Source organism: Homo sapiens, chromosome 13 (genome assembly GCF_000001405.40).
Source record: "Homo sapiens chromosome 13, GRCh38.p14 Primary Assembly".
Classification (NCBI taxonomy): domain Eukaryota; kingdom Metazoa; phylum Chordata; class Mammalia; order Primates; family Hominidae; genus Homo; species Homo sapiens.
Window position 1 is genome coordinate 52,434,515 of NC_000013.11, and position 20,908 is coordinate 52,455,422.

Sequence of the window (20,908 nt, forward strand, 5' to 3'; positions counted from 1 at the left end):
TGCCTGGCTAATTTTTGTATTTTTAGTAGAGACAGGGTTTCACAATGTTGGCCAGGCTGGTCTTGAACTCCTGACCTCATGATCCACCCCGCCTTGGCCTCCCAAAGTAGTGGGATTACAGGCGTGAGCCACCGCGCCCTACCGAAAATAAATTCTTTATAAGAATACCATTGCAGTATTTTGTTTTGGGCAAGTTCTACAATCACAGAGTCTTTTTCTTAATGAAGATGTAAGTACAGAGTTGAAAATACTGGATTAGCAAATAGTTTTAAAAATACCTGGGGTCCTCTATTTGTTTGTAATGACTGGGAAACTGGCATATTCTCCCATCTTCTTTGTGTCATTTCCTCTGATAAACGCCTGTAAAACTGATACGCAAATAAATACACTTTAAATGACTCAGTCAGATTGTAACATCCTTGTATAAATCATTACTTAACATTTCTTTCTTTTTTTCTTTTTTTTTTTTTTTTTGAGGTGGAGTTTTGTTCTTGTTGCCCAGGCTGGAGTGCAATGGCGTGATCTAGGCTCACCACAACTTCCGCCTCCCCGATTCAAGTGATTCTCCTGCCTCAGCCTCCCAAGTAGCTGGGATTACAGGCATGTGCCACCACACCCAGCTAATTTTGTATTTTTAGTAGAGATGGGGTTTCTCCATATTGGTCAGGCTGGTCTTGAACTCTCGACCTCAGGTGATCTGCCCGCCTCAGCCTCCCAAAGTGCTGGGATTATAGGTGTGAGCCACCGCGCCCGGCCACTTAACATTTCTTCAGTATAAAAGTCTGTTCAGTCATTTGCAGCAAGCCCAGAATTCTCAGAGACATCAAAGAAAATCAAAGGAAGTTCTTTTCTTGGATCAGCTTCAGAAAGCACAAGGGAAAAAAAAAAAGAGAAGGAACTGACCTTCTATATAAAGTGGGCTATTCTCAACAAAGAGATGAGTGACAATGAAATCAATAGACTTACTTTAAACAATCCTGTGTATGTGGATTGTTTTCGATCTATAATGAAACAAACACAGTGCCAGGAAAAATATACAACCATTCTCCATGAAGGAAGCAGAGAATCATTTGTCTAGTTAAAATATAAAACCAAAAAGTAGGACCAAAACATACCTATGCTCACAAATAATCAAATATATTTTTCAACTTCAATGAGAAAAACTTTAGTCAATCACTTATATCTGCTTAGTGATCACTTGTCAGGAGCACTGGGTGAGGTGATATAGAAAAAAATTAATAATAATTTATGATATTGATGGGGAGAATAAATACGCACTTCTAATTATCTTAAGAATTCTTGTACAGCAACTTATTCAGAACATACAAACTATTATACTGCAGAATAAGTACTTAAGTGATTAAGATTAACTGGAGTTAATCAAGACAGACAGCCTGATTTAAAGCTGGGGAACCTTCAGATACTGAGATAGTTCAACATACCACTGCATTTACACTCTGTTCCTTTAACTAAACTATACCACTGAAAACTCTGCTAGCAGGCGAATGGCATGACTTAGTGTATTTTCCAGCCTCTGTTCCTTCCTTGGGAACACAACCTCTGCTTCCCATTCCCACTGAAACCTAAACTTCATATTCTCCACTCACTGCTAAGGCTTAAGATATAATAAAAATTTTATTGTAAAAATATGGTGAAATCTGGTATGTTGTATAATACTACCTTCCATCATATTAACAAGCCACAACACACACACACACACACACACACACACACACACACCTTTCTAGTACGATTTTATTCATGTAGAAACTTACCTCAATCTGGCCATGTTCTTTGAAGGAGAGTTTGATGTAGGAGTTCTTACTACTCTGGAATGGGCCAGGTTCTTTGTTAGGAGGAGCTGGGTGAAGATGAACCACTATTTTGGCACTGAAGAAAGAACAAATGTAATATATTGAATTGTCTTTCAAAAAAATATAACTAATTCTACTTTTATAACTTTTTATGTATTTCAAATCACTTTTAAAATTCATGTAGAAACAAACATCCCAAAAAGCATCCTTTTAAAGTGTGTATTAATTCAATATTAATGAAGCTTTCAAAAATCTCTCTACTTAAAACTTGAACCAAAGCTATGAACCAAAAAGCTTCAAGTTACTAGCTCTGTAGATTAGAGTGTGACTTTAGAAAATAAGGTCAAAATAAATTTGCAAAATTTTGAGTTTATGATTATGGTTTTCCAACTACAAACGTCCCCAGAGGTTATAAGGGGGCCTATAATTTCTGCCAAAGCATACACCCTTATTCATTTGAAAACAAAATGTGAAAACTTATCTGTAAAAATGGCCAGCTGATATTTTATTAAAATTCCATCCAAAACTAACATTCTACAGTATCATTTGTTGGAAAATGCCACTCAATCAACAGCATGATCTAGAAAGATATCCAATAACAAAAACAATTCCCAAAATGCTGTGGCTCTAAGAACACAAACTACCATTATCTTTATGACTATCATAATCTTCTATGCTATTAAAAATACCACTATATTTGGTCAGCTTAATAAGTCTGTTTTCCTCCTTTTTTTTTTTTCTACCTAGTCAATAAGCAATCTTCTATAAAGATTTGGGAAACTAAAAAACTCAAAGTATCCCGGGTACCTAGTTTAGTGCTTTTTCTTTATTGATCATGCTATAGATACACACCTACCACTCAATTTTACTTTTCTTTTTTTGGAACCATATGGTTACCTAAAGATCACTGTAAAATTGAAACACCAGGCATTGGGCCTCCTCAATGTGAATGGGTGGGGCCAGCCTTGTAAGGACTCCTCCTATTCCCTTGTGGTAAACTTCTTTAAGTGAAGTGAGAAAATAAACTATGTGAGCAGAATCATAGAACTGTCTGAAACAAACCATCAAGTAGAGCAACAAAACTATGACAATTAAGATAACTAAGCAAAAGCATTTCATAGTCTCTGAAACTAAAAAAAAACGCTCAGCCCTACTATCAGATTGTGTGAAAGGACACCCAATGAAAAACTAATGAGTATAATCGAAAAAAGTTTAAAAGCTCCACAGTAAGCATAAAAAGTCTATGCCAAGTTTTGTGTACATTCTTTTATCAAGTCATCCAATTACTATACTTCATTAAATTTTAAATTTATGAAATAAAGCCGGGCGCGGTGGCTCATGCCTGTAATCCCAGCACTTTGGGAGGCTGAGGCGGGTGGATCATGAGGTCAGGAGATCAAGACCATCCTGGCTAACACGGTGAAACCCCGTCTCTACTAAAAATACAAAAAATTAGCTGGGCATGGTCGTGGGCGCCTGTAGTCCCAGCTACTCGGGAGGCTGAGGCAGGAGAATGGCGTGAACCTGGGAGGCGGAGCTTGCAGTGAGCCAAGATAGTGCCACTGCACTCCAGCCTGGGCAACAAAGCAAGACGCTGCCTCAAAAAAAAAAAAATTATGAAATAAAAAAAGCATCTTCAGAGATGTTAAAAGGTGAAACGTACACATCTTGAAATCAATGCAAATATAACTGTTTGAGGGGAGGGGCTGGGAACTAAAGAGAATACTTGAAAAGTAACTTGGCATATTACTGAAGTCCTCCTCACTGGACATGTTTAAAAAATAAGACACTAACGTGAAGGTAAATATTTTAAATTTTTTTTTTAGTTTAGATTTCCTTGGAACACAGGAAAGGAAAATTCAGATAACCTGGAACAACCTTAAAGTTTACTTTTTAGAACTTAATACAATGGAGAAAATTGATAAGGGGAAAATATAAATCATAAGAACAACCTACCCTAAAAATCTATGGCTTAAAAAAAATCTATGGCTTATTAATCTTTTTAAAACGTTGGTTAGTTTCTTTTATATCAAATAAATAATCTTTTACAGTAAATCATAACATTATGATCAAGGCATGCATTGCATGTCCAGTGAAGCTCAACATTGTTTAACTTCTACTGAAGTGCCTAATTATGCTAAACCTAAAGATAAGCCTACATAGGAAAAAAATATCCCATGCCGATAATATTTGTTCATGTCTCCTCAATTACATTCACTTAAAATATAAAGCCAAGTTTTCGGTACATTTGAATAAACAGGAACATTTGAACTTACGCCTTTATACCAGAGTGGCCTCATCTCCTGGTGTGCCTGGGATAGTCCCATTGTATCCCTGTTACCCTGGTCTAATTGTTCATTGTACCCCCTATTATTCTGATAAATGTCCTGCTTTGTACAATAACTATTATTATATGCTGTTTAATTCTGCTACCTGAACAAGTCAAACTTGAGAAACAAACTTAATGATCAGGCTAGAAACAGGAGCAAAGTCAGTTATTTTTCTCAAATAGGTTATTTCCGATTTTAAGTATGAAATGACAGGTACACAGGGATGTGAAAGCAAAGTGTCTACGGAAAGACAATGATAACTGGGCCACATTTCTTTATTATGACCCATGTATAATAAACAAGGATATTACAGCAAACCTTAGCTTTATTCATGCTTTAAGAATGGATTCGTACATCAAGTCTAAGATAGGACCTCTTGGCCAATAGCATAACAGGAAATGTTTTCTGTGAATAAAGACTGTGCTATACACAGACTTACCTCTTCCCAATTCCAGCCGCCTGTTCTTCAATGAACACAATTTGGGAAAGGAGAATGGCCATGCAACACTCCTAGGAGGAAATCAATAGCTTAAATGAAAGACTCTAAACAACATCCATAACACTTGTCAGAAATCCTTGTTTTATAGCATTACAGTGCCATATGCCTTAATAATAAAAATAATGAAAAACAATAATGATTTTACTCCTTAAATGAACTTAAGGAAAAATTAAATGAAAACAGTAATGTGGTGGCATTTGGCTGCATGGAAGAACATAAGAAGTTTAAAAGAAGCTGTAACTAGCTTTTGTTTTTACAATGGGTGTATTTTCTTTATTATTATTATTTTTTAATTTATTTTTTTTTGAGGCGGAGTCTCACTCTGTCACCCAGGCTGGAGTGCAGTGGCGTGATCTCGGATCACTGCAAGCTCTGCCTCCTGGGTTAACACCATTCTCCTGCTTCAGCCTCCCGAGTAGCTGGGACTACAGGTGCCCGCCACCACGTCCGGCTAATTTTTTTGTATTTTTAGTAGAGACGGGGTTTCACCATGTTAGCCAGGATGGTCTCGATCTCCTGACCTCGTAGTCCACCTGGCTCGGCCTCCCAAAGTGCTGGGATTACAGGCGTGAGCCACCGCACCCAGCCACAATGGGTGCATTTTCTAAGAGTAATATTTCTATGAAAACATTTTACTCGTAATATTTTCTTACACTGAAAGCAAAAAACAAATCAGATACATCAAGATAATTTTAAGGAGGGCATTTATGTAGATGACTTTCTCTTCTTTATAATTTTCCATACTTCACTCATATGCCCATATACAATTATTAACAGTTTTAAACAGAAAATATTGATGTAGTATCCCTTTATTCATATGTTTAATTTTTTTTTTTTTTGAGATGGAGTCTCGCTCTGTTGCCCAAGCTGGAGTGCAGTAGTACAATCTAGGCTCACTGCGACCTCCACCTCCCAGGTTCAAGTGATCCTCCCACCTCAGCTTCCCAAGTAGCTGGGATTATAGATGTGAGCCACCATGCCTGGCTCATTTTTGTATTTTTAGGAGAGAAGGACTTTCACCATGTTGGCGAGGCTAGTCTCGAACTCCTGACCTCAAGTGACCCCCCTGCCTCGGCCTCCCAAAGTACTGGGATTTACAGGCATGAGCCACTGTGTCTAGCCAGTATGTTTAATTTTTAATTTTTATTTTTTTGAGACTGAGTTTCACTCTTTTTGCCCAGGCTGGAGTGCAATGGCGCAATCTTGGCTCATCACAACCTCTGCCTCCCAGGTTCAAGCAATTTTCCTGCCTCAGCCTCCTGAGTAGCTGGGATTACAGGCATGTGCCACCATGCCTAGCTAATTTTGTATTTTTAGTAGAGACAGGGTTTCTCCACGTTGGTCAGGCTGGTCTCAAACTCCCAACATCAGGTGATCCGCCCGCCTCAGCCTCCCAACGTGCTGGGATTACAGGCATGAGCCACTGCGCCTAGCCCAATTTTTAACATATATAAACAGTTATGTTTAATTTTTATATGTGACTAGCAATGTAGTAAGTCTAAAATTTGTCCAAATTGACCTCTTTATATGATAATCAAAAAATTATACTAAGATTAACTTATCAACATATGGTTTAAGGACATCCACTCTATCCTCCCCAAAAAGATTTATTTTCTGAATATATATTACTTTTAAAAGGATTAGACAATATTAACAGTCTAAGGCAGCAGTCCCCAACCTTTTGTGTATCAGGGACCAGTTTCATGGAAGACAGTATTTCCTGGGGAGCAGGGGTTGTGGTTTCAGGATGAAACTGTTCCACTTCAGACCATCAGGCATTAGACTCTCAAAGGGAGGGCATGACCTAGATCCCTTGCATGCACAGTTCACAATAGGGTTCCTGCTCCTATGAGAATCTAATGCGTCTGCTGATCTGATGGGAGGTGGAGCTCCGGTGGTAATGCTTGCTTACCTGTCACTTATCCCTGCTATGTGACCCAGTTCCTAACAGGCCACAGACCAGTACTGGGGGTTGGGGGGTTGGGGACCCCTGCTCTAAGGCATGCATTATCAACAGGGGCAATATCAGACCTAGGAGACAAAAATTAGTTCCCAGGTACAAAAAAGTCAGATATTGTAATGGTTAGCAGCCCTTCAAGTGCTACAGTACAGTATATAGTTTATTTGTGGTACTAAAATTTCACAGGGGTCTGGGGGAACAATCAGGAAAATAAAAACAGATGAGATAGCTATCTTACTGGCAACACTGAGATTAATGTATATACACTTTCAGGTTGAAGCTCTTGGGAATAAAGATATCAGCTCTATATACATATAATTCTCCTCCTTCCCAAAAACAAAAGACAAAAAACAGGTTGGGCAAGGTGGCTCACGACTGTGATCCCAGCACTTTGGGAGGCCGAGGTGGGCAGATCACGAGGTCAGGAGTTAGAGACCAGCCTGAACAACTTGGCTAAACCCCGTCTCTACTAAAAAATGCAAAAATTAGCCGGGCGTGGTGGCACGCACCAGTAATCCCAGCTACTCAGGAGGCTGAGGCAGGAGGATCACTTGAACCTGGGAGGCGGAGGTTGCAGTGAGCCGAGATTGCGCCACTGCACTCCAGCCTGGGCGAAAGAGCGAGACTCCATCTCAAAAAAAAGGGGGGGATGCGTGGGGGACTCCTCTTGCTGAGTGACTTAGAGACAGATCTCATTATCTAGGTAAAAGCATGCACTTGATGGCAGGCCTAGCCTCCTGATTCTCAACAACCTAGGACAACCAGTGGTTTTAAGGACATACCAGCTCTTTGTAAAGACTCCCTCACAACTGATGGGGGAATTATTCCACTGTTACACATGGAACATTTAGATATAGAGTAGAATTTGACTAGTATTTAAAAAACATGATTCTCCATCCAGTAACTACATGGATTTTTCTGGAGCTGAATAAGGGACGACACGCTAACTCCTGTTTTTGCACTCCATTCAGAGAAATTACATGGGACACACTCTTTTGTCATTCAGAAAAGTAAAATTTATTATTGCATTCATTATATAAGTTTTATTAGAAATGAAAAAAGAAGAAAAAGCTCCAGTTGATTTAAAACCTACAATGGTGGCTCACTCCTGTAGCCCCGGCTACTCGGGAGGTTGAGGCCAGGAGAATCACTTGAGCCCAGAGGTTACAGATCAGCCTAGGCAATACAGCGAGACCCTGTCTCTAAAAAATAAATAAACAAAATAAAACCTACAACAGATGCAAAAAACTGTATCTTACATGATTTTTCTGATCTCTCCAAATCAGTCGGTGTGTACTAAGAAGGAGAGTCCCAGCATCAAATTTTATCTAGAAAGAAAGAGCATCACAAAATATTAATAACATATCACTCATTGTGGTTCCGATTTTCTTCTTCATGAATTATACCACACTAAATTAATCATATAAACAAACATTTTACTTTTAGAATAGGCTTATCACAAATTAAAGAGAACCAATGCTACATACTTCATAAGCTATTTGTATAGTCTTGACAGAATTAGAAAAAAATGCAAACAACAACCAGGTATGATACACATTCATACTCTGCAATGCATGCAAAGGTTAAAAAGAAATGACGAGGTAGAACTGCATGGATTACCATAGAACTCTAAGACATTGGATGAGTGGGAAAGAAAGTGATTTACAGCAATTTATAATATTACATATGCAGTATATGTGTGTGTCTGCAGACACACAAGTAGTGAAAGGGGTCTAAAAGGAACACAATTATCTGTTAACAATCATTATCTCAGAAAAAGTGTGAGGAAAGGGGTAGAAGGGAAGCAAAGAGCTCTTTTGTACCTCTACACTTTACCCTGATTGAATTTCTTTGCAATTGAATTCATGTATAACACTCATAACATTTTTTAATGAAAACAAAATCCAGGAATAGACACAAATACATACAAAAATAAATATGGATGGAGATTCAATCAATGGCAGTGGGACAACTGGGTTGCCAGGTAGGAAAAAGAAAAACCCACACATCTGGATTTATACCTAATACAATGCACCAAAATGAATTCTAGAAGGATCAAACAATTGAGTAAAAAACGAAAAAAATTATAAAAGCACTCGAAAAAAATCATGAGATAATTTTTAAAATAATCTGAGGGGAGAAGACCTTTCTAAGAAGGCATAAAACCCATTAGCATTAAACAAAAACCCCCAAATTCATATGTTGAAGCCCTAACCCTCAATGCGATGGTATTTGGCAATGGAGCCTTTGGGAAGTGATTAGGTTTAGAAGTTCATGAGGTGGGGCCCTCATGATGGGACTAGTATCCCTATAAGAAGAGGAAGAGACAGGAGGGCTTCCTCTCCATGAACACGTGCTGACAAAAGACCATGCAAGTACACAGGGAAATGGTGGCCATCTGCAAGCCAGGAAGAGTGCCCTTACCAAGAACCAAATCTGCCAGCACCTTGATCTTAGACTTCCCAGTCTCCAGAACTATGAGAAATAAATGCCTGTTGTTTAAGCCACCCAGGCTATGCTATTCTGTTTTAGCAGCTGAGCTGACTAGGACATACTCTTTGAGTATGTATCACCTATTCAAAATATAAATTTTTAAATGTTCTTCAAAACTACAATACAATCACAAAGAAATGCCAGCTGGGTCTTCAGGACCAAAACTTTAACCCTTACTACTTGTTATTATGCCCTGAAAGTTACATAAATAAGCAAATTTTAGAGTTGGAACCCAAGAGATTAATAAATTAAACCCCTGTGTTTCTGTTAAAAGCAAGATATATATTGGAAGCTATTAACTCGAGTTACCAGAAAGTGGAATTTGCCACAAGGTAGGACTTCCTTGTGTCCTTTCCAGGAATATCCAGTTATTTTAAAAGTTATATCTGATCCTAAGTCTGAGCTAATAAAAAAGAAAAACAACAACAAAAAACAGTTACAAGGATAGTCCCATTTATAAGGCAGCCTTACAACATAAATTCTAAGGAAAGCATTTTAGTGAGTGTCCAGTTTATTAAAATAAGACTGGAATTGTTTTGAGTTTAAAATAATATGTTAAAAATATGGCCGGGTGCCATGGCTCACGCCTATAATCCCAGCACTTTGGGAGGCCAAGGCGGGTGGATCACGAGGTCTGGAGATCGAGACCATCCTGGCTAATATGGTGAAACCCCGTCTCTACTTTAAAAAATACAAAAAATTAGCCACGTGTGGTGGCGGGTGCCTGTAGTCCCAGCTACTCGGGAGGCTGAGGCAGGAGAATGGCATGAACCCGGGAGGCGGAGCTTGCAGTGAGCCGAGATCGCGCCACTGCACTCCAGCCTGGGTGACAGAGCAAGACTCCGTTTAAAAAATACATATATATACATTTTTATATAAATACATATACATATATATGTATAAAAATATATATATTTATATATAAATACATATACATATATATGTATATATACACATATATATACACACACACATATATATATGAAAAGTAAATAAATTGGAGCATTACTATATATCATTCTTAAACAATAAATTATTTATGCGGTTGATAATAAAGAGACTTATGATATTAATACAGAAAAAAGCAGGTCTCAAAATATATATAGCATGACTCCACACACAGAATACGCTAAAAGTAACTGCTTATGGGTAGTAGGATTATTGATTATTTCAAGTTCCTCCTTTGGCCTATCCATATTTAACAACTTTGTTACATGTCTAATAAATAAAAAAATCGATCACAGGCATGTATAACTTCATGTAACTCTGAACTATATATAAATCATTTTTTGTTAAATCAAGCACACATAGGAACATATGTCAAAAAGTCCTTGCATAATAAATAACACACTTCTTGACATACATTTTAAAAAACTGTTTTCTAAGAGTAAGGTCTGATTGTATTATTAATAGCATTAAGTAGTAAATAATATGGTTAGTAAACTTTAATGATAACAGACCTTCTGAACCATCTAGTCTAAATACACTTCATGAGAGATTGTCCCACCAACAAACTTCAACATGTCAGAGAATAGACCTTATGAGTCCATGTTTTTCTCAGAATCAGAAATAAAACATATGTACTTCTGGCACTTAGTTCAGTCTGGCTTCAAACATTTTGGTTAATCTCATCTATGCAAAACCAAATAACTAAGTTTACAATATTTTTTAAATCTCTTCTTTGCCAATGAGTAAATTTCCCTTCTCCAAAAGCAAATATTTAATTATCTTAAGAGTACATAATGCTGGCCGGGCGCGGTGGCTCATGCCTGTAATCCCAGCACTTTGGGAGGCCGAGGAAGGCGGATCACGAGGTCAGGAGATCGAGACCATCCTGACTAACACGGTGAAACCCCGTCTCTACTAAAAATACAAAAAATTAGCCAGGCTTGGTGGCGGGCACCTGTAGTCCCAGCTATTCCGGAGGCTGAGGCAGGAGAATGGCGTGAACTCGGGAGGTGGAGCTTGCAGAGAGCTGAGATCGTGCCATTGCACTCCAGCCTGGGTGACAGAGGGAGACTCCGTCTCAAAAAAAAAAAAAAAAAGGCCGGGCGCAGTGGCTCACGCCTGTAATCCCAGCACTTTGGGAGGCCTAGGCGGGCGGATCACGAGGTCAGGAGATCAAGACCATCCTGACTAACACGGTGAAACCCCGTCTCTACTAAAAATACAAAAAAAAAATAGCCGGGTGTGGTAGCGGGTGCCTGTAGTCCCAGCTACTTGGGAGGCGGAGGCAGGAGAATGGCGTGAACCCGGGAGGCGGAGCTTGCAGTGAGCGGAGATCGCGCCACTGCACTCCAGCCTGGGCGACAGAGAAAGACTCTATCTCAAAAAAAAAAAAAAAAAAAAAAAAAAAAAGGCCGGGCACCTTGGCTCACGCCTGTAATCCCAGCACTTTGGGAGGCCGAGGCAGGCAGATCAAGAGGTCAGGAGTTCAAGACCAGCCTGACCAACATGGTGAAACCCCGTCTCTACTAAAAATAAAAAATAAAAAATAAAAAAAAAAATTGCCGGGCGTGGTGGCGGGCGCCTGTAATCCCAGCTACTGGGGAGGCTGAGGTAGGAGAAACGCTTGAACCCGGGAAGCAGAGGTTGCGGTGAGCCAAGATCGCACCACCGCACTCCAGACTGAGCAACAGAGCGAGATTCCGTCTGAAAAAAAAAAAAAAAAGTACATAATGCTGCATTATAGAACATATAGTTCTGATTAAGAAACTTCGTATGTTATCTTACTGAAATCCAAGCACATACATGTTAATTTAAGGCTGGAGCCAGCCTATGTTCCACTGCTACCTCAATTAACAATGTGCAAATGTAAAATGTTGCTGCTCTAAGTGAAGAAATTGTGTAACAGTTCCCTTTCAGGATTCCAGTGGATTAAGATCTAAACCTGATAGTCAAGTTTAGGCTGGTTTGCTTACACCACTCAGAACCTAGAATAATTTTAACTGCTTAAAAATTGATCTAACTTCAGCACTCACTGAAAAGTTCTTAACCTGCTTTTTTTTTTAATTTACATTTTTTCTGTTATAAAAGTCATACATGTTCAGTGTTGAAAATCTCGAAAATATTTAGAGCCTGAAAAAGAAAATGAAATAATAACTCATACCAGCCAGAGTGTGTATGTATATATACACAGATGTTTATGTATACATATATAACCTTTAAATAGAATGATAGGTTTATAACTATTATTAATAGTATAGTTAGAAAATATAGTTAGCAGCCTATCATTGGCAATTCCTCATGCTAATTAGGGCATGCCATAATTTTTTTTTTTTTTTTTGAGATGGAGTTTCTTGTTGCCCAGGCTGGAGTGCGATGGTGCGATCTGGGCTCACAGCAACCTCTGCCATCCGGGTTCAAGCCATTCTCCTGCCTCAGCCTCCCAAGTAGCTGGGATTACAGGCACCCGCCACCACGCCCAGCTAATTTTTTGTATTTTTAGTAGAGACGGGGTTTTACCATGTTGGCCAGGCTGGTCTTAAACTCCTGACCTCAGAGGATCTACCCGCCTCAGCCTCTCAAAGTGCTGGGATTACAGGCATGAGCCACCACGCCTGGCCCCATGCCATAATTTAATTAACCAATCCCTATGGTGGACATTCAGATTGCTTCCAATTTTTCCATATATAATAATATTATATGTAATACATAATAATGCTGAGATGAGCATTCTCATATGTAATATTTTTATGCATTTCTGATTATTTCCCAAGGGTAAATTCCTAAAAGTGAGTTAGCTGAAAAAGAATAAACAATTTTCTAAATCTTCTGATATATGCTGCCAACTTGCCACTTTACACATTACTAACCTTACATTATTTTTTAAATTGGCTGAGGCTACAGAAGTGTCTGTGAAGTCAAACAAATGACCTGTCTACACTGCTTATGAAAGTAACACATTATCTAGTCATAATGAGCCCATGAAAACTGTGCCTGTATAAACAAGCGAGTCTGCATGTATTCATAAGAGGCACTTGGGCGTGGGAAGAGCAGTCCATTGGATCTGGTTTGCAATTCTAGCTCTACCAGTTACTAGTTGTGTGACCTTAGACAGCTCACAGTTTTCTCAGCTATCACCTGTGGGGTCTCAGTTCCCCATCTTTGGGAAGATTAGCTGTATTAAACATTATATCAAGGGTGACACCGGTGACTGCTACATTATGAAGTCATTTTTTTTTTTTTTTGAGACAGAATCTCGCTCTGTTGCCTAGGCTGGAGTGCAGTGGCACAATCTCGGCTCACTGTAGCTCCATGAACAAAGCACAGGCTTTGAGTCTGATCAACAGAGATTTAAATCTTCTCTCTGTGGATCTTAGGCAAGTCACTGTATCTCTTGGCGTTACTTTCTCATTCAGTAAAATACCTCATATTCTGATGAGAGGATTAAATGAGATGATATATACAGCTCTTGGCTCATAGTACTTTAATTATTCGGGTTTAAAAAAAATGTGTTTCACACCCACAACCAGCTAGGAGATACAAGGATGAGCAAGGCACACCTTCTGTGCTCCAGAAACATCAGACTAGTCTAGAAGACAGCCATGCACATGCTTGCCCAGGGAATGGGTTGGGATGCAAAACTATGAATATTAAGCAATCTGGACTGCAGTCCCTAGGCCAAAGGAGCCAGTGAGGCATCCTAAAAGGGAGACTAATTTCACCAGATTTGGGGGCTAATGTGTGTAACCTTGTAAAGTCTCTAGCACCACAGGAGGTCTGGAAACCTTCCAAAAGATGAAGGAAGCCAGGATACCGCACCTTCCCCCAGGAGTCAGCCTGTGCCCCATTCAGCCTAGGGACCGCATAGCTGCAAGGCAGCTCAGCAAGTCACTAAGTCCAGCTTTGGGGCACAGTGGTAAGGAGACTCCTCTTAGAGCTCCACTCCAATTTCAAGCTTTTAGAAGAGTTAATTCTGGACTAGATCACAGGGTCTAAAGCAATGTTTTCCCCATGATTTGTTTCTTAAACCTCTGACATCTATATACTTGTCTGCTAATACAAGCAGCAAAAATTTTAAAGTAAAAATTAAAACTTGCTGCTTCAACAATGTATCTTTCATATAAAACTACTAATGGTTGTTATTTTACACTGTTTTAAATCTATCACAGCTATACTGCCTGCCAGCAAAGGTGTTCCTAGTCTTCAAATTGGAGTTCCATAGAACAGTATCATGCCATGCTCTGCAAAAGCATGACTTCCTAGTGCTCCCTCAGGGAGTGGCACTGGAGGAGTCTCTGAGGACAGATCTAACACTGTCAACATTCGGTTCCTCTCAAAGGGGAGGCAAAATCAAAACACCGAGGAAGGGGAGGTGGATTAACCTTCCCATTTTAAATAGTCACAAAGATGTAAATTGGTAAGAAAGGAGAAAAAAATAGCTTGTCACTCCAATCCGGGGATGGAAGACTCATCTTGAGATCAAGATAGTTAAAGTGCCAAGGCAGGCTGGGCACAGTGGCTCAAGAGCCTGTAATCCCAGCTGTTTGGGAGGCCCAGGCGGGCGGATCATTTGAGGTCAGGAGTTAGAGACCAGCCTGGCCAATGTGGTGAAACCCCGTCTCTACTAAATATGCAAAAATTAGCCGGGCATGGTTGCAGGCGCCTGTAATCCCAGTTACTCAGGAGGCTGAGGCAGGATCTTGAATCTGGGAGGCGGAGGTTGCAGTGAGCCCAGATCGCGCCACTGCACTCCAGCCTGGCGATAGAGCGAGACTCTGTCTCAAAATAAATAAATTAATTAATTAAATTAAGAAGTGCTAAGGCAGTAAGTGAAGTTAGGTCCAAGCAAATTATTTAAGGAAAAGACCTTTACTCACTAATACAGGCAACACAGCCCATAGAAAATGCCCTAAGAGAGTCAGAGGACCTGGGTCCAATGTCACCTGTGCCTCTAAATAGCTGTAAGCACTTACCAGGAAAAGCTGAGTTGAGGAACTTATATCAAAGTACAGCGGAAAGTGTCGTTAATAAAACGGCAAGGGAAGAGAGGTAGCAAATTAAAACTTCTGGAAACCAAAAATGCTTGTGGGTAAATGAGTTTTAAAATTTTTCTAATTCCAGTTTATCCATTTCAATCCAGGACAAGATATTTCATAGTTTCAGTAAAGTATCTACAAAATATTTACTTACACTTCCTATTTCTCCTCTCGATTTGCAAACGCACCTTCTAAGATTTATGCTTGCACTACAAGGCACGGTCTACTATTAATATAACACTTTACAAAACACGCTCAGAACGCCTTTCTAAAGCAATTAGAAAACAAAACAAAAACCCAATAGCCTTTGGCAAGGGCATTCCAATGAAGCACTGATACCTCTTTAGGAAATCCTTTCGAAGCAATCCCTCACCCCTCTGCCCAGATATGCTAATCCCTCCGACTGCATAAGGTCCAAGCTAAAGCTTCCGCTGGGGCACGGACTGTACGGCCACCGCGCCCTCCTCACAGAAAGGCGAAACGGGGCTGTCCGGTGCCGACGCCGAGGTTGGTGTCGTCAGGGGGTCTGGAACCACGCCAAGGAAGTCGACTGCCGGATCGCCGCCCGGCGCCCGCAGACGGCGAGCGCTCCTTCTCCCGGGCACTGCAGCTGTGCGCTCCCGGAAGCATTCCGGGCGGAGGGAAGCGGCCGCGATCCGCGCCTGCTGGGAACCGTGCCAAAGTTGGGACCCGCGCTGGGGAGGCAGCCGAGCGCCCCACGCCACGTGCTACCGACCGGCGGGGAGCGCAAGAGCGCTGCACCCCGCACAGAGGCCTGCCGGGCCGCCGAGGGCCGTGAGCTAAGCCGGGGACCGGGCCGCGCCGACCCGGGCCGCGCTGAGCCGGGCCGCGCGCCCACCGGGGGTCCCTTCCGCCAGCCCGTTGGGAAGGTTGGCAGACGCCCTACCTTCTCCTCGCCATCGTAGATTCGCACCCCGCGCTGCTGGATCACCAGGGTCTCGTTGATCTCCAGGAGGCCGCTGGTCCAAACGAAGCGGTCCATGGCCGCTGCCACCCAGCCCCGGCCCTCCGAGGCCGCGAGCAGCGCGCCAGGCAGCCTGCGGCGCCCCCTAGCGTCGGACGGGACGGAAGCGAGTCGGGGCGGGTGAGGGACGGAGGGAGCGGCCTGGCAGCGAGCGGGCGCGGCTGCGAGGTGCGCCCGGGGACGTGGAGACGTGCGTGGAGCGCCCCCTGGCGGTCCATTAGCCGCCGGCCTTTCAGAACCCTTGATCAGCAGGCGGTCCACCCCATTCTAAATTCAGAGCTTACAGGGACGCGAGGGAGCCCCGACCACAGCTTGGACTTGCTTATTGTGCATTATGCCTGCATGTTTGTGGCAGTTTTCTTGTCAGTGCCCAGAATGTTGCTACATTCGCTAATGATTGTAAATAATCATAACCCCTCTCTTTCAAATGAATATTTATGGCACGCATTGTTTCTGTACAGCTGCAGTCAGTACTACCTGTGCTGCTCTTTTTTTCCCTTTAAGATTATATTGTAACACAAAGGATAAATGCTTGAGGTAACGGATACCTCATTTACCCTGATGTGATTATTATACAGTGTATGCCTGTATCAAAATATCCCATATACCCCAGAAATATATACACCTATGTACCCACACAAATTAATTTTTTTTTAACTGGGGGAAACAGATTTTATTTAACCGGGCTTGATGCGCGCGCCTGTATTCCCAGCTGCTTCCGAAGCTGAGGCGGGAGGATTGCTTGAACCCAGGAGTTTGACACCAGTGGGCGACATAGAAAGACCCTTTCCCCCTCCACCCCAACTCCCCCACGCCACTCCACTCCCCCACCCCCAGGCTCAGAAAAAAAAGATTATTTTTATTTAGGCATTTTCAATATTAATACAGACCTCATGCGTGAATTTACATTTCAATATGTAGTTCCTCTATAATTTAGCTGTTTGTTGGTCTGCGCAAAGCCATCCATGGCCGCTGCTCTCACCCACCAGGCGGCCTCGTGCCCCTAGCCATTTCATTTTTGTATTTTGCTTTATAAATGGAACACCTGGCCGGGCGCGGTGGCTCACGTTTGTAATCCCAGCACTTTGGGAGGACAAGGCGGGCGGATCACAAGTCAGGAGTTCGAGACCAGCCTGGCTAACATAGAGAAACCCTGTCTCTACTAAAAATACAAAAAATTAGCCCGGCGTGGTGGCGGGTGCCTGTAATCCCAGCTACTCGGGAAGCTGAGGCAAGAGAATCGCTTGAACCCTGGAGGTAGAGGTTGCAGTGAGCCGAGATCGCACCATTGCACTCCAGTCTGAGCGACAGAACGAGACTCTGCTTCAAAAATAATAATAATAAATAATAAATAAATAAATAAATGGAGCAGCTTATAGATGTCCTTCTACAATTGATACATATTTTTCTCTTTAGGATTATTTTCTTACAGTGTCTTCCTAAAATAGAATGACTGCTTTAAAGGTTGTGAACACATTTTAGAGAGCCTACCACTTATTGGGGTCTTAACTAAGGCTGCGTGCCCACGTGGGCAGAGGGGCACAGGGGCAGAGGGACAGAGGGCAGGCTTGCTCTCTGCCCCCAGGGCTCCACATTTCCCCCAGTCGTGGAGTCAGTGGTCTGTGGCTAGGCATTAAAAGAAAGGAAAGGCTCTTTCCAATGAGTATAAGCCATCTCTCCCCCGAAATGAATTGCTACTTTTACCGTGTTCCAAAATCCTGTGTGTATTTTGGTCTATTTCTAAACAGTGTCTTCTGTATTTCATATCTTTCAATTTCCATCATGACCATATACCCAATAACCAAAAGTTCTTTGAAAACATTTGATTTGCTGTAATATGCTATCAATATATATCACAATTTACCATCATTGCCTGATTTTTGAGCATTTGATTGTTTACCAACTTTTTAGTCTTTTTTAATTGAAAGTAATGTGACCTAAGCATCCTAATCAGATGTGGAACTGTGCAGTTATGCCTGGGCTTTGCAATTATCAACATGTTAGGCAGTGAGGACATTTGCAAGGTATGTTTTCTGCCCTTGAGGGATGTACAGTCTGTAGGACACAAATAGAAGCCTGGCATATGATAGCTGCTGGGATAGACAACCGTATAAGGGTTTCCTGTATCCAGGCTGGAGCAAGGAGAAACGTCATGTGGCTTATATATGGCAATAAATGAATAGACAAAAGGTTTTAATTTTTATGAAGTTCAGTGTATTTTTTTCTTTCATAGTTCATGGAATTTGCCTATTTAAGAAATCTTTTTTCCACAAACCAGATATTGATACTGATTATGAAATCTTTGCCTAACACAAAGTCACTAAGATTTTCTCCTATAATTTCTTCTAGAAGCTTCATAGTTTTGGTTCTTACATTTAGGTCTATGCTTTTTTTTTTTGAGACAGAGTCTCACTCTGCCGCCCAGGCTGGAGTGCAATGGCACAATCTCGGCTCACTGCAACCACTGACTCCTGGGTTCAAGCGATTCTCCTGCCTCAGCCTCCCGAGTAGCTGGGATTACAGGTGCCTGCCACCACGCCTGGCTAACTTTTGTATATTTTGTAGAGACAGGGTTTCACCATGTTGGCAAAGCTGGTCTTGAACTCCTGACCTCAGGTGATCCACCCGCCTTGGCCTCCCAAAGTGCTGGGATTACGGGCATGAGCCACCACGCCCAGCCATCCCCAGGATGTTTTTGCCAGGACCTCCCACCTTCTGAATCAGATGGTTCCTTTCAGTCCCAATCCTACTGGACCTCTGTAGTGCCCAACACTGTGGTCCATTACCTCTTTCTTCAGCTTCTCTCTTCCCCAGACTTTGTGACCCCATTGTGTCCCCATTGTCCTCCTAACTTTCAGATTGTCCTTCCCTGTTCTCTCACAGGCACTTTACCTTCTTCACATGACCACAGGAGGAACGACTAACACTAATTAATCATCAGTACTCCAGGTGCCTGCAGTTTCATGGTCAGCTGTGTTGGCAAAGAACTGTTCTGAAAGGAAATCTTTTTTGTTTTGTTTTTTTTGTTTGTTTTTTGGATCTTTTAGAAAAAGGTCTGCTTTCTCTGCAATAATTGTGTAGCAGTAATATTAAAAAGTGTCTCAAAAATAGACATATCATTGGAGTGGGTGAGTCTGGAGATTAGAGGAGAATTGCCATTTTGAAAAACCTAGCAGTTTGGCAGGTTTTCCTATTCATCTCAGCCTACTGAGATCTCCATGGTATCCTTTGAGTCAATTTCTTTTTTTACCATGCCCACTTATAAAAAATTATTGAGGTTCACATAACATAAAATTAATCATTTTAAAGTGAACAACTCAATGGCATTAATACATTTACAATGTCACCCAACCACTACCTCTAATTCCAAAACATTTCACTTACTTCAAGGTAATGAAACCCTTGTCCATTAAACTGTCTCCCAATTCTCCCCCTACCCTCAGCCTCTGGCAACTACTATTCTGAGTTATTTCACTATGGATGTATCTATTTTAGATCTTTCATATAAATGGAATCATACCATATGTAACTTTTCATATATTACTTCTTTTACTTAGCATAATGTTTTGGAGGTTTTTGAGTCACTTATTAACGCTGTATTTTGTTCTCACTTAATAGAAATCCCTGGTTGCCCCACCTGTCTGATGAAACTTTAGTAAATAATCAACAATAATGACAGACGTATTTAAACAGCAAGTTATATCTTAAGGATGGTGATGGACAATGTTAAACTAAAACTGGGACATTTCATCAAGTAAAAAACTACACAAAATCTCAAACCAAATTCCTCATTAGCAAGACGCTACCATAAGATGTCTGAAGAAAAAAGCAGGCAGAAGTGGGAAAAACTGACCACAGCCGAGGGCCAGCTGTGGAGGCCCTCAGACCTGGGAAGGGTAAACGGGGAAATCACATCCTCCCGTCTGTGTGCCCGGAGCACCTAAAACCTGGCTGAAAGAGTCCAGTCCAGCCTTACTGCAGTGATCAGGCAAGAAATGTAAACCCAGTGCTTGAAACCAGGCAGGTGCAGTCCAGACTCGCCCTCACTTCCCCACTGCCACTCTTAAAACCTTCTAGCCCTGACTTGTTTCGTTCTGTCATGTGGATTGAGTGTTTGTGTGGGTTTTATGAAGGTGGTATTTTTAGATGAGAAAAACGAAGATTATGGCGGCACACTTAACCACACAAACACAAAACGTCTGTAACAAATGCTATTTTATCTTCAAAGGAGAATTATATATAACCTTGAGGAGGGGATGAGGTTTATCTTCATTTTTTTCTGTTTCTCCTCCTCTCCTCCCTTTTTTGCATTTGATAATTGCTTAGAATAAAGGTATGGAAAGTAGATCCCAATTTCAGTTCCCCTTCACACGCTGTGCAAACGTGGACAAACAACCTCTGAACCTGTCACCTCTCAGTGGAAAAAGTGGTGATAACGTCCCACCTCAGAATTGATGCTCAAAATGAAGCAGTATTTGTGAAACGAAAATACACACGCTCGTGGTACGCCAGATCGGTGTTTACGTCCTCGTCAGTGAACGCGTCGATGTTTAATAAGAAGGGCAGCCAATCAACACTTTTCTTGTCTTTTTCTCGTCTGCCTTCCTCCAAGGACTGTGAGGGTCTCAAGATGTGTCCCATCTCGGTTGTTTGTCAACCTAGTCCTGCTATGTCGTGGGGACTGAGCAGGCCGACTCCTCCCCCATCGCACGTCCAGGATGAAGAGCGCTGTTTAGGTTTGAAACCTGCAGACTCAGTCCCAACCGAACTGGGCAGACACCAGACCGGCCCCGGCAACTGCAGTCCAGGCTCCGCCTCCCTACGCCCATTGGCTTATTCAATTCAC

At 41.6% G+C, this 20,908-nt stretch overlaps 1 protein-coding gene and 1 long non-coding RNA gene across 4 annotated transcripts in view, besides 5 other annotated features; both read right to left on the reverse strand.

Annotated features, from left to right (window-relative positions):
• The window catches only part of VPS36 (vacuolar protein sorting 36 homolog), a 38,029-nt gene extending 21,909 nt beyond the window's left edge, over positions 1 to 16,120 (reverse strand). Inside the window, exons 1-5 of one of the 3 annotated variants that reach the window (NM_001282168.2) lie at positions 16,012 to 16,120; positions 7,863 to 7,931; positions 4,584 to 4,654; positions 1,776 to 1,890; positions 279 to 368 (exon numbers count right to left, since the gene is read on the reverse strand). In NM_001282168.2, coding sequence (NP_001269097.1) covers positions 279 to 368; positions 1,776 to 1,890; positions 4,584 to 4,654; positions 7,863 to 7,931; positions 16,012 to 16,080 — 414 coding nt within the window. In that variant the 5' untranslated portion in view covers positions 16,081 to 16,120. Of the gene's footprint in view, positions 1 to 278; positions 369 to 1,775; positions 1,891 to 4,583; positions 4,655 to 7,862; positions 7,932 to 15,416; positions 15,731 to 15,984 lie in introns of those variants that run through there. The other 2 variants (NM_016075.4, NM_001282169.2) reach the window with 2 other exon arrangements.
• Positions 15,706 to 16,286: an enhancer, noted in NCBI's record as "NANOG-H3K27ac-H3K4me1 hESC enhancer chr13:53024355-53024935 (GRCh37/hg19 assembly coordinates)". NCBI's record gives its function as "activates a minimal SCP1, AML or CMV promoter by ChIP-STARR-seq in naive H9 embryonic stem cells {active_cell/tissue: H9 hESC(naive)}" and the evidence as "EXISTENCE:reporter gene assay evidence [ECO:0000049][PMID:30033119]".
• Positions 15,807 to 16,266: a silencer, noted in NCBI's record as "silent region_5385". NCBI's record gives its function as "represses an Ori minimal core promoter by ATAC-STARR-seq in GM12878 lymphoblastoid cells {active_cell/tissue: GM12878}" and the evidence as "EXISTENCE:reporter gene assay evidence [ECO:0000049][PMID:35858748]".
• Positions 16,307 to 16,366: a silencer, noted in NCBI's record as "silent region_5386". NCBI's record gives its function as "represses an Ori minimal core promoter by ATAC-STARR-seq in GM12878 lymphoblastoid cells {active_cell/tissue: GM12878}" and the evidence as "EXISTENCE:reporter gene assay evidence [ECO:0000049][PMID:35858748]".
• Positions 20,115 to 20,294: an enhancer, noted in NCBI's record as "active region_7790". NCBI's record gives its function as "activates an Ori minimal core promoter by ATAC-STARR-seq in GM12878 lymphoblastoid cells {active_cell/tissue: GM12878}" and the evidence as "EXISTENCE:reporter gene assay evidence [ECO:0000049][PMID:35858748]".
• CKAP2-DT (CKAP2 divergent transcript) lies at positions 20,261 to 20,832 on the reverse strand. The gene has a single exon (NR_185890.1). It is a non-coding gene; the product is annotated as a CKAP2 divergent transcript (long non-coding RNA).
• Positions 20,585 to 20,664: an enhancer, noted in NCBI's record as "active region_7791". NCBI's record gives its function as "activates an Ori minimal core promoter by ATAC-STARR-seq in GM12878 lymphoblastoid cells {active_cell/tissue: GM12878}" and the evidence as "EXISTENCE:reporter gene assay evidence [ECO:0000049][PMID:35858748]".
• Positions 20,833 to 20,908: the final 76 nt, after the last annotated feature.